This window comes from Homo sapiens, chromosome 2 (genome assembly GCF_000001405.40).
Source record: "Homo sapiens chromosome 2, GRCh38.p14 Primary Assembly".
Lineage (NCBI taxonomy): Eukaryota > Metazoa > Chordata > Mammalia > Primates > Hominidae > Homo > Homo sapiens.
The window spans coordinates 110,920,203-110,934,156 of NC_000002.12; the positions used below are offsets into that span (position 1 = coordinate 110,920,203).

The 13,954-nt window shown below is 40.9% G+C and overlaps 1 protein-coding gene across 30 annotated transcripts in view; it reads left to right on the forward strand.

Annotated features, from left to right (window-relative positions):
• The window catches only part of ACOXL (acyl-CoA oxidase like), a 385,976-nt gene that overhangs the window by 187,630 nt on the left and 184,392 nt on the right, over positions 1–13,954 (forward strand). For 29 of the 30 annotated variants that reach the window (NM_001437600.1, XM_011511414.4, NM_001142807.4 and 26 more), the window contains one exon: positions 13,287–13,440. In NM_001437600.1, the coding sequence (NP_001424529.1) occupies positions 13,287–13,440 (154 nt within the window). Of the gene's footprint in view, positions 1–7,855; positions 10,899–13,286; positions 13,441–13,954 lie in introns of those variants that run through there. The other variant, XM_017004432.3, reaches the window with a different exon arrangement.

Genomic DNA, 13,954 nt, shown 5'->3' on the forward strand with positions numbered 1-13,954 from the left:
TTGTCCTGCATCCTTGCCAGCCATTGTTATTGTCAGATTTTGTTTTGATTTTTATTTGTTTTCTGTCTTTCTGATAGTTGTCTCTAATAGTTTGTAGCTTTACATTTTTATAACACTAATAACTAATAATGTTTAGTGTCTTTTCATGTACTTATTTGCCATCTGTGTATCTTCTTTAGCAAAGTGTCCGTTCTGGTCTTTTATCAGTTTTTCAGTTGAGTTGTTTGTTTTCTTATTGTTGAGTGCAAGAGTTCTTTATAGGTTCTAAATAGACTTTTTGCATCATATTTTTATTTGCAAATGTTTTCTCCAAGTTTGTCACTTTTTAAAATTCTCTTAAGAGTGCCTTAATAAGAGCAATAGTTTTAAATTTTTGTTTGGTTCAACAGCTTTAAATTTTGATTTGTCTTGAAATTGGGTAGTGTCAGCTCTCTAATGTTCTTTTTTGAGAATTGTTTTGGCTATTCTTTTTTTTTGGCCTTTGCTTATATATTTTAGAATCATCTTGTTAATCTCTACAAAAAAGATAGATGATGTTTTTCTTGGGATAGTATTGACTTAGAAATCAATTTGGGGATAGTCTGCCTATTAATATTGAGTCTTTCAATACATGAACACTGTATATCTTTTCATTTATTTAGGTCTTCTTTGAGTTCTGTTTTGAAGTTTCCAACATACAAACCCTACTCATATTTTACTATGTTGATACCTAAGCATTTTACCTTTTTGAAGGTACAGTTGTTTATTTCTAATATGTAGGAATACTATTGACTTTAGTTCTAGGAGCTTTTGTTGGGTAGATTTTAATAAATATAGGACTTTTCAGATTACCTAATTTTTTGAGTGCTTTTCAAATTTATTTTATCTAATTTGTCAAATTTATGGCGATAGTGTTGGTTGTAACATTCCCTTTTCTTTTTAATGTCTGTGGGATCAGTGCGATTTCTCCCCTGAAATCCTGATGTTTTGTGTCCTCTTTCCTTATCCCCACTGTTTTGTCTCTCTCACATCAGTTTGGATAGAGGCCTATCAATTTTGTTGCTTTTTCCATATTTTATGTGATTGATTTTCTCTATTTTTAATTTAAATTTCATTGCTATCTGCTCCAATCTTTATTTCTTTCCTTTTGCTTGCTTTAAGTTGCTCTCTCTTGCTCTCTCTCTCTCTCTGTGTCTCTATATATCCACCCCCCCCCCCCTTTTTTTTTTGAGGCAGAGTCTTGCATTGTTTCCCAGGCTGGAGTGCAGTGGCGCCATCTCAGCTCACTTGCAAGCTCCACTTCCCGGGTTCACAACATTCTCCTGCCTCAGCCTCCCAAGTAGCTGGGACTACAGGTGCCTGCCACCACGTCCGGCTAACTTTTTGTACTTTTAGTAGAGTTGGGGTTTCACCGTGTTAGCCAGGATGGTCTCAATCTCCTGACCTCGTGATCTGCCCGCCTTGGCCTCCCAAAGTACTAGGATTACAGGCATGAGCCACCGCGCCTGGCCTTCCACCCCCCTCTCTTAAGGTGAAAGGTTAGATTACTGCTTTGAGACATTGCTTCTTGCCTAATATAATCAATTCACACTAAAATTTCCTTTAAGCATTGCTTTAGCTGCATCTTTCTCATTTTGACATGTTGCAATTTCAATTAGTTAAAAATAGTTTAAATTTCTCCTTAAGACTTCCCTTTCCACCCCCGAATTATTTATAACTGCTGTCATGGTCCAATAACATCCTTTGTATGAATTTTATTCTTTGAAATTTATGGCTCAGTAAAAATAGTGTTCTATGTACACTTAAAAAGGATGTGTATTTTGTTGTGGTTGGGAGGAGAGTATTATAAATGTCAATTAGGTCAAGTTGGCTAATTGTGATCTGCAGATCATATATATCATTATTGGTTTTCTGCTTACGTGTTTTATCAATGACTGCAAGAAGGGGGTTGGCATTTCCAACTGTAATTATGAATTTGTTTATTTCTTCTTTCAGTTTTATCCATTTTTTCCTCAAGTATTTTGAAAGTTTTTTTTGGTTGTTGTTTTGGTGCATACACATGCAGGTAGCTTCCTAGCATGACCTGGAAATTTCACAAATAGAAAACAGGCAACAGTGTTATATGATCATGAAAGTTTAAATTGGATCAAAATAACTTGATGATGAAACCGGAAAATTTTTCATATGCATGCCAAAGGAAAACAGTTTTTTTCTTTTTTTTCTTTGAGTTTTCCCCAGTGTGACTTGTAACTGTTACAGAGGCAAGACTGTGTATACATTTGCTTCTCAGTCAACTATTTGCAAATTTGTGACACAGAAGTTATTAGACTACATAAGAAAGAGCTGCTATATATTCTACATTTATAAATATATATCTGTTTGTCATATATCTATGATAAAAGTGTTATATGTATCAACATGTTTCCTTTTTCTTCAGCTCTTTTTATATTTTGGCTTGATTTAAGCTTGATTTTATAAGTGCTGTGTTACACTGTCAATGAAAATTAAAGTTTCTCTTGATCTTAGTTAGACACTCTCCAGGTACCTGTATCAGAGACGTAGACAAATGTCACAGTCTAGCTCAAGGAAAGAAACAAGAGGTGATCAATAGAAATTCAGTAATTGATAAAAGAAAGAACCCCAGAGCCCTTACCATGTGCCATTCATGAATGCCGCATTGAACAGGACAGATCGACACTTGCCTTCACCAGCTGTCAGTCTAATTGCCCCCAAGGACCTTCTAATTTTCTTGACTTGGGCCTCCTTGCACCCTCCATGGTCTCTGGCCCACCTCATTGTCCCCATTATAGCTCTGCAGCTTCTTTCCTTTCCTCCTGCTTCTTTCATTCCCGGTCTCCCTACATCACAGTAGGGGGTTGACCCATGGAAAATCTGGTCATAGGAATCTCCAGGAAGGCAGTGTCCCAATTAGGGGAAAGAGACTGCCTTCACTTTAACACAAGCCCAGGAAAAAGTTGGCACATTCTGCGACAACGTTCTGGTTTTCTAGTTTGCTCCTAGTTTACTGTCCCTGCTACCTCTTCTCCAACTTGTAAGGAAATAGCTTCATAAAATTGGTTGGAGCATGACAAAATTTTATGCTGACTACTTCCCCCCAACACACATCTTTTCTTTTTCTTTTTTTTTCTCTACTAAGGGTGTCACATCTTGGTCGTAGGGCCCATCTCCTAACTTTCCATGAATGTAGGCTGCCACTCAATTGGTTTCAAGGTTCAGGGTCTGGGTAAGTGGAGGTTTGACTGGTTAGATGTTTATTCAATACATTTGATCCTACTCAAGTGCAAGGAGAGTATACATCTTTAGGTGTACAGGTCTGGAGTTAGGTGAGCAGGAAATGGACAGTTTCCAGACTATCCTGAGTTCAAATCCCAGTCTCTCCACTTACCATCCTAATGAGCAATTACTTAAATTTTCTGGATGTGCATTCCCTTATTAGAAACAGAGCATGAGGCCTGGTGTGGTGGCTCATGCCTGTAATCTCAGCACTTTGGGAGGCCGAGATGAGCAGATCACTTGAGGCCAGGAGTTCGAGACCAGCCTGGCCAACATGGTGAAACCCCATCCCTACTAAACATACAAAAAAATTAGCTGGGCGTGGTGGTGGGGGCCTGTAATCCCAGCTACTCGGGAGGCTGAGGCAGGAGAATTGCTTGAACTCAGGAGTCAGAGGTTGCAGTGAGCTGAGAACACACCATTGTCATCTAGCCTGGGTGATAAGAGCGAGACTCCATCTCAAAAAAAAAAAAAGAGAAACAGAGCATGAATGTCAGTACAGATATACCTCAGAGACATTGCAGATTTGGTTCTAGACCACTGCAATAAAGTGAATATCGCAATAACATGAGTCATAATTTTTTTGTTTCCCAGTGTGTATAAAAGTTATATTTACACTGTACTACAGCCTATTAAGTGTGCAACAGCATTATGTCTAAAAAATATACATACGTCTGTTAAAAATACTTTATGCTAAAAAAAGACTAATGAGCATCTAAGCCTTCAGTGAGTTACTCTTTTTGCTAGTGGAGGGTCTTGACTTGATGTTGATGGCTGCTGACTGAGCAGGTTGGTAATTGCTGAAGGTTAGGGTGGCTGTGGCAATGTCTTAAGATAACAACGAAGTTTGCCGCAACAATTGACTCTTCCTTTCATGAAACATTTTTCTGTAGCATCTGATGCCATTTGGCAGCGTTTTACCCACAGCAGAATTTTTTTCCAAAATTGGAGTCAGTCCTTTCAAACCTTGCTGCTGCCCTATCAACTAAGTTTACATGATATTTTAAATCCTCACTTGTTATTTCAACAATGTTCACAGCATTTTCACCAGGAGTAGATTCTATCTCAAGAAACCACTTTCTTTGCTCCTTCATGAGAAGCAACTCCTCATCTGTGAAAGTTTTATTATGAGATTGCAGCAATTCAGTCACATCTTCAGGCTCCACTTCTAATTATCGTTCTCTTGCTGTTTCCACCATATCTACAGTGACTTTCTCCAATGAAGTCTTGAACCCCTCAAAGTCATCCATGAGGGTTGGAACATCAACTTCTTCTGAACTGCTAATGTTGGTATTTTGACCTCCTCCCATGAATCACAAATGTTCTTAATGGCCTTTAGATTGGTGAGGAAGATTTTCAATTCACCTAGGTCCCTAAGAGGAATCACTGTCTATGACAGCCATAGCCTTATGAAATGTATTTAATAAATAATAAGACTTGAAAGTCAAAATTACTGCTTGATCCAGGGACTGGAGAATGGTGGTTGTGTTAGCAGGCATGAAAACGACATGTATCTCCTTGTACATCTCCCTCAGAGCTCCTAAGTGACCAGGTGCATTGTCAATGAGCAGTAACATTTTGAAAGGAATTCTTATTTCTGAGCATTAGGTTTCAACAACAGGCTTAAAATATTCAGTAAACTATACTGTAAACAGATGTGCTATCAACCAGGTGCTGTTGTTTCATTTCTAGAGCACAGGCAGAGTAGATTCAGCATAATTCTTAATGGCCTTAGGATTTTTGAAATAGTAAATGACCATTGGCTTCAACTTAAAGCCACTAGCTGCATTAGCCCCTAACAAGAGATTCTCTCTGTTCTTTGAAGTTTTGAAGTAGGTACTGATGAAAGTCCTAGATGAAACCAAGGCTGTTTCACCTATGCTGAAAATATGTTGTTGAGTGTAGCCACTGTAATCACTGATTTTAGCTAGATCTTCTGGATAACTTGCTGCTTAAGCTGTAGCTTCTACATCAGCACTTGCTGCATCACCTTGCATTTCTATGCTATAGAGATGGTGTCTTTCTTTAAAAATCAAGAACCAATTTAGCCTCAAACTTTTCTTTTGTAGCTTCCTCACTTCTCTCAGCCTTTGTAGAATTGAAGAGAGTTATGACCTTGTTCTGGATTAGGCTTTGGCTTAATGGAATGTTGTGATTGGTTTGATCTTCCATCCAGACCACTAAAACTTTCTCCATATCAGCAAAAGTCTGTTTTGCTTTCTTATCATTTGTGTGTTCACTGGAGTAGCACTTTTAATTTCCTTCAAGAACTTTTCCTTTGCATTCACAACTTGGCTAACTCTTTGACACAAGAGGCCTAACTTCAGCCTTTCTCAGTTTTCAACATGCCTTCCTCACTAGGCTTAATTACTTCTAGCTTTTTTTTTTTTTTTTTTTTTAAAGCATTTCTAGCTTTCGATCTAGAAAGACATATGACTCTTCCTTTCACTTGAACACTCAGAGGCCACTGTAGGGTTACTGGCCTAATTTCAGCATAGTTGTGTCTCAGGGAATAGAGAGGCCTGAGGAGCGGGAGAGAGACGGGGAAATGGCAGGTCAGTGGAGCAGTCAGAACACACACATTTACCAATTAAGTTCACTGTCTTATGTGGGTGCAGTTTGTGATGCCCCAAAACGATTACAATAGTAACATCAAAGATCACTAATGACAGATCACCATAACAGATACAATAATAATGAAAAAGTTTGAAATATTGTGAGAATTACCAAAACGTCACAAAGACACAAAGTGAATATGTGCTGCTGGAGAAAGGGCTCTGATAGAATTGCTCAATGCAAGGTTGCCGCAAGGCCTCAATTTTTAAAAAGTGCGATATCTGCAAAATGCAATTAAATGAGGTATTTCTGCACCTACTTTGGGTTGTCAAGGGATTAAATGAATTAACACATGAAATGGGCTTGAGACAGGGCCCGGCATATCATACATGCTCCAGTGTGGCAGCAAGGAGCAGGCCCTCTGTGACCCTACTTTGAGGGTCCTAATCCTGATCTTGCCACTTGCTAATTGTATAACATCGAGAAGGCTGCTGACATGCTGTGCGTCAGTTTCCCCATCTATAACATAGGAATAATAATATCTGACCTAGAGGGTTATTAGAAGAATTGAGTGAGTGAATATTTGAACATGCTTAGATTAGGGTCTGGAGGATAATAAATGCCCAATAAATGTTAGTTGCTATTGCCATCCCCTCCAGTACCCTCAAACTTTCTATCCCCCTGTCCCACCAATTACCACATTGTGATGATTTTTCCTCCTACATTGAAATTACTCAAAGCCTTCCTTCCCTGTCATCTCTCCCCGACCATCCCTGGTTGCACACTCTCTCCCCATTCAGCCTGGCCCTCTTCAAATCCACTCTCCAGGAATCACCAGCGCCCTACCTGAAATGAAATCTAAATTCCTACTTGCCAGCTGCCTCCCTCCTGGGGCCTTCCAGCATCTTCTGTACTGGGTTATATTAGTTTGTTCTTTCACTGCCACAAAGAACTACCTGAGATTGGGTAATTTATGAAGAAAAGAGGTTTAATTGACTCATAGTTCCACAAGCCTAACAGGAAGCATGACTAGGAGGCATCAGGAAACTTACAATCATGGTGGAAGGCAAAGGGGAAGCAAGCACCTTTTTCCCATGTCAGCAGGAGAGAGAAGGAGCAAAGCGGGAAGTGCCACACACTTTCAACCAACCAGATATCATGAGAACTCACTCACTATCACAAAAACAGCAAGGGGGAAGTCCACCCCCATGATTCAATCACCTCTCGCCAGGCCCCTCCCCCAACACATGGGAATTACAATTCAATTCAAGATGAGATTTGGGTGGGGACACTGAGCCAAACCAAATCATGGGTCAAGCTCAAGCTCCCGCATGTGGCCCTGGGGTGCCTTCCACCTGCTGGGCCTTCCCACTTCCACCCCACCCACACCTCTCTGTCCTCTACTGAGGCCTCCACACCTGTCCTGTGCTCCTGCTGTGGCCTTTCTTATAGACGTCTTTCCCCTCACACTCTTGCTTCCCTCACCTGATAATTTAGTGCTTATCTTTTGAGACCCAGTTGAGGCTGCCAACTTCTCTAAGACACTCTCCCTGAGCCCCTTCTGGAATAAGGAGCCCCCATATAAGCTTCCTGGAGTAGCAGCCTGGGCCCATCTTGTCATTGCACTGTTACTTTTGGTTTGTGATTGTAAATTCTGTGAGCACAGAAGTTGCGAATCCTCAATTTGGCATCATCACACCTAGTAGCGTCTGGCTCTCTGCACAGATTAATTCACCTACAAAATGAAATTGCCTTGTGTAACTACATCACACCTGGCTGTGGGATTGCTTGGAGCTTTGCCTTTAAATCATGTGATCATCTTTGAAACGTACATTTCTGAAGGGTCCATGAGGTAGCTGGCCAAGGAAGTTGGGAGCTGATATCTCCCTTTGGAATCATCTAGTGGGATTTGCTACAGGGATGAATTTCCTAACTTAGAAAATGATTAACAATTTTAAAAAATCAATATTTGCAGTCCACCAGCCAAAGTGAGTATTTTAGGGTCTGCCTCTCCTCTTTATTCCAGGCGAGCAACTCAAGCAGTCCAGGATGCATCTCAGGCAAGGAGGGGCCACAGCACTGTCCCTGCTGCTATCTTTCAACTGGATTCACTTGTTCTCTTGGGCAATCTCCATTTACCCAATACCTGTAAGGGTAAAATTAAGAAAATAGCTAACACACATTCAAGTTCTTGCCATTTACCAGGCACTGTCCTAAGATTTCATGTGTAGTAACTCATTTAATGTCTCAAGACAAATCAACGGGACAGAGATTTTTCTCTTTGTTTTTTGATTGATGTTACAACAGCACCTGAAATGATGCCTTGCACAAAGTTAGACTTTATGAATATTTGTTGAATAAATGAATGAGTGTAATAACCCTCCACAGTTTACAGAAATTCACCAAGTCTTCTCTTTGTTAAAAAATGAAGTTAAGGATAGTTAAGCACCTTAGACATTACTCATCCCTGCCATTTGTGCACTAGATTTTTAAAAATATGATTCTAATAGCTTATTGCCAAAAAGTCTTGTTTGGTCTTTTTATACAAAATAAACTTTTATAAATAGAATCTTGCCATCTCATTGACTTTATGGTTTTAGATATATTGTGGTATTTCTCATGAATCTTACCATGATGGTGGGTTCCTGATATTGTTTGGCTGTGTCCCCACTCAAATCTCATCTTGAACTGTAGCTCCCATAATTCCCACGTGTTGTGGGAGGGACCCAGTGGGAGATAATTGAATCATGGGGCTGGTTTCCTCCATACTGTTCTCATCATAGTGAATAAGTCTCATGAGATCTGACGGTTTTATAAGGGGAAACCCCTTTCACTTGTCTCCCATTGTCTTCTTCCCTGCCACCATGTAAGACATGCTTTTCACCTTCTGCCATGATTTTGAGGCCTTCCCAGCCACACGGAATTGTGAGTCCATTAAACCTGTTTTTCTTTATAAATTACCTAGCCTTGGGTATGTCTTTATCAGCGGCATGAAACGGACTAATAGAGTAAATTGGTCCCAGTAGGGTGTTGTGCTGTTGTAAACATATCCAGTGACTTTGAAACTGGGTAATAGGTAGAGGTTGGAACAGTTTGGAGGGCTCAGAAGAAGAAAGGAAAATGAGGAAAAGTTTGGAACTTCCTAGAGACTTCTTAAATGGCTTTGACCAAAATGGTGATAATGATATGGACAATGAAATCCAGGCTGAGGTGGACTCAGATGGAGATGAAGAATTTGTTGGGAACTGGAGTGAAGGTGACTCTTTCTATGTTTTAGCAAAGAGACAGGTGGCATTTTGCCCCGGCCCTAGAGATGTGTGGAACTTTGAACTTGAGGGAGATGATTTAGGGTATCTGGCACAAGCAATTTCTAAGCAGCAAGGCATTCAAGAGATGACTTGGGTGCTGTTAAAAACATTCTATTTTAAAAGGGAAACAGTATAAATGCTCAGAAAATTTGCAGCCTGAAGATGTGATAGAAAAGAAAAACCCATTTTCTGAGGAGAAATTCAAGCCTGCTGCAGAAATTTGTATAAATAGTGAGGAACCAAATGCTAATCCCCAAGACAATGGCAAAATGTCTACAGAGCATGTCAGAGACCTTTGCAGCAGCCCCTCCCATCACAAGCCAGGAGGCCTAGGAGGAAAAAATGGTCTCATGGGCCAGGCCCAGGGTCTTCCTGCTGTGTGCAGCCTAGGGACTTTGTGCCCTGCATCCCAGCTGCTGTAGCGATGGCTAAAAGGGGCCATGGTATAGCTGGAGGCATGGCTTTACAGGATGCAAGCCCCAAGTCTTGGCAGCTTCCACATGGTGTTGAGCCTGCAGGTTCACAGAAGTCAAGAATTGAGGTTTGGAAACCTCTGCCCAGATTTCAGAGGATGTATGGAAATGCCTGGATGTCCAGGCATAAGTTTGCTGCAGGGGCGGGGCCCTCATGGAGAACCTTTGCTAGGGTAGTGTAGAAGGGAAATGTGGGGTTGAAGCCCCTACACAGAGTCCCCATCGGGGTACTGCCTAGTAGAGCTGTGTCCTCCAGACCCTATAATGTCAGATCCACTGACAGCTTGCACCATGCACCTGGAAAAGCTGCACTCACTGCCAGCTTGTGAAAGTAGCTGGGGTAGGGGGCTGTACCCTGCAAAGCCAGGGGAGCAGAGCTGCCCAAGACCATGGGAACCCACCTCTTGCATCAGTGTGATCTGGACGTGAGACAAAGAGTCAAAGGAGATCATTTTGGAGCTTTCAGATTTGACCACCCCACTGGACTGTGAACTTACAGGGGGCCTGTAGCCCCTTTGTTTTGGCCAATTTCTCCCATTTGGAACAGCTGTATTTACCCAATGCCTGTACCACCATTGTATCTAGGAAGTAACTAACTTGCTTTTGATTTTACAGGCTCATAGGTGGAAGGGACTTGCTTTGACTTGCTTTGTCTCAGATAAGACTTTGGACTGTAAACTTTTGAGTTAATGCTGAAATGACTTAAGACTTTGGGGGACTGTTGGGAAGGGATGACTGGTTTTGAAATGTGAGGACATGAGATTTGGGAAGGGCCAGGTGTGGAATGATATGATTTGGCTGTGTGCCCACCCAAATCTCATCTTGCATTGTAGCTCCCATAATTCCATGTGTTGTGGGAAGGACTCAGTGGGGGCTAATTGAATCATGGGGGCAGTTTCCGCTATACTCTTCTCATGGTAGTGAATAAGTCTCATGAGATCTAGTTGTTTTACAAGAGGTTTCCCCTTTCACTTGGCTTTCATTCTGTCTCTTGCCTGCCATCATGCAAAATGTGCCTTTTGCCTTCCATCATGATTGTGAGCCCTTCCCTTGTGAAACTGTGTGTCCATTAAACCTTTTTGCTTTATAAATTACCCAGTGTCAGGTATGTCTTTATCAGCAGTATGAAAACACTAATACAGTTCTAACAGTTTGTTTAATCTATTTTTTGAGTGGATGTAACCCATAAACAAATACCTTGCATTTCTTGAGACATCACCTATTAAATAAACATGTTTGGAAATGAGAAATAATTTTGCCTCAAGAATCCCTATTTCCTAATTTATCTTTTGGGCCACGATGAGTTTCTTATATCAGATTTTCTTAAGACATACTCCTCCTGTACTCTAAAACACACTGAACATGGAAGACTTCTCAGACTCCTTGGTTAAACAAATGTAAGGGTACAGCAAAGAGTAAGAGCCACTGGTGCACCTCTCCACCTGGCAGCTGGAAGTTTGGCTGGGGCCTCTCACAGTTCTTTTCTTAAAGACTATTTATTTCTTATTTCCCACCTATTTCCACCCCTGGGGAATGGGGAGAGATGGGGGTGTGTGTGATTGGAGAGATCAATGGGGAATCATGTATACATTTTTTTAAATACCCATTTCTGAGATTCTCTGAGAGTCATTGTATTATAGTCACAGCCCGGAGCATGGGTGATGATAATATAGCATAGATGAAAATGCCACAGACTTCCTTAGGGCACTGACAGGAACATTATCTATAATGAAAAGAACATGCTATTTAGGAATAGAGAGCCCTGGGTTTAAATGCTAGCTCTGCCCTCACACATGAGGGACCTTGACTGAGGTATGTTTACTTCAGTTGAGCCTCAGTTTTCCCAACAACTCTATGAAATAGGAAATTATATCTCCATTTTACAGATGCAAATTCAAACCATAAGGAGATACCATTACATATACACTAGAATGACTAACATTAAAAAGACTGTAAAGACCAATTGTTGGCAGGAATGTAGAACAACTATAATTATTACACACCGCTGGTAGGAATGTAAAATTGCATAACCACTTTGGAAAATTATTTGGCAGCTTCTTACAAAGCCTGAAATGCATCTACCGTATGACTGAGCCATTTCACTTCAATGTATTTACTCAAGAGAAATGAAGACATGTATTTTCTCTAAGAATTGTACATGAATTTTCATAACAGTTTTATTTGCAATAGTCCCAAACTGGAAACAACCAAAATGTTCATCAACAAGTGAATGCATAAATGAATGCGGTGAGTACATTACGTAGAATAGAGTACTACTAGCAATAAAAAGGAACAACTACAAATATATATTGTAATGTGGATGAATTTCAAAACAGCATGCTGATTGAAAGAAGCAAGACAACACACACTCTGCAATTCCATTTACTTAAAATACATCTCACCTATAGTGTCAAAGAACAGTTCAGTGGTTGCCTTGGGGTGGGAGTAAAGAAAGGAATGGAGTGCAAAAAGACATGAGGCATTTTGTTCTGTAGCTTGATTGTGATGCTATTCTCATGGGTGTGTACGGTTGTCAAAACTCTTCAAGTGGTGCACTTTGAATGAATGCATCATTGTAAACATATTATTTCTCAATATTGTTGATTAGGGAAGAAGATAAGTTGTTTAAAGCAAAAATAGGCATGAGGTTTATCACACATGCAGAAGATCTGTATCTATATTTTATACATAATATGTATACATATCTTTATATATAAAATCTCAACAGTAGCAAAGTGGATGGGGGAGTGGAATTGAGGTATACTGCATTGTTGTAAGGTGCAGAATTTCAAGGGAAGTGGAATTAAAAAGTTACAAATACAAGAGGCATGTGAAACCTTTTGTGTGTGTGGTTAAAAGAAAATAATTTGGAACCTGATCCTATGTGTGTAGACCAAAATAAGAGGAGAGTTGAGCATAGGTCCCACTTTGTGCTGGGTCAAGGGGTGCCTAGACAGATGTCAGCGTAAGCAGTGAGGCCTGTAAATGGATTGGAAGAAAAGTTAACTTGGACAGAAAGCAAAGGAGAGGTTTTCCAATGGGAGAACGATGTGGTGGAGACTCATGGTTGCACGTATGGTCATGGTGCAGGGTGACAGTTTTGACAGACCCATGAAGACTTTGGTAGACTTTGGAGGAGCAGGTTTAATCTCGAGGTCTACGTCAGATGCCGACAGGCCTCTGCTGTTCCTCTGGTTCGTGTTTGCAGGTATAAATTTTTTTGTTATTTTTCTTTTGACCTATTTCTCTTTATATTTTGAGTGGGTTTCTTGTATAAAGCATCTAGTTGAATCTTGATTTTTTAAAAGTCATGTCTGACAATCTCCAAATTAAATAGTACTGTTTAAACCATTTGCACCTAATGTAACTATCAATAAACATAGAGTTTTAGAATATTATCCTGCAACTTTTTCTCTATATATCCCATATGTTCTTTGTTCCCTTTTCCCTCTGCTCTTGTGTTTCATTGACTAATTAAATAATTTTTAGGTTTCCACTGGTAGCGTTTTAACTATGCCACTGTTATTTTTTAGTGACTATCTACAGTTTAAAATCTGCATCACTGACATCATATTCTTTCCTCAAATAGCGTTATAGCACTTCACAGATAATGCTCCTTCACACATGTGCTGACTGCACCGCCACTTCCATCACACATGTCTGCTTTGTCCTGCAGGTATGCTGGGGCCCTCCTGGATGAGGATGTCTTCCAGGGAAAGGAGCTGGTCAACAGTCGCTCGCTGCAGGCTCTGGTGGCGGGGCTGAAGGCCTACAGCACCTGGGAGAACATCCGCTGCCTGCAGGACTGCCGCGAGTGCACTGGAGGCATGGTGAGCCCCAAGGCCTGCAGCCCCCGTGGGTCCCCACGATACAACCCACACTGGGGGAGCACTGTGGGGCGGGCAGATAACATGCTTCAGAGTCTAATAGAAATCCCAACTGCCCATGACTCTGGGTTCCTTCCTTACCAGCCTCATAGTCTTGTGTGTCTCCATCATATGATGCTGCCAGGACTGATAGAATACATGTTTGTAAAATGCCTGGCCCATGAAGGCACACAATAAATATCATGAAACTTCGTGGGGCAAAGGTAGTAGTGGACAGTATGGGAAAGGGCCACTGAAGGTTCAGATGATCAAAGCTCTGCTCCAATGTTTTAATCCCTTGGGAGAACACAGGAAATGACCCCAAGGGTTTCCCTCACCCCTGGTGAGGACACAGGAGGCAGAGCATTCAGAGACTTCCTGGTGTGTCTCCAGCCCCAGTCTCAGACTGGATTGTGTGGTGAGAAGCACAAGGTGTTAGAAATCCCAATATGAATATTTGAGGGAGTTGAGGGGGACT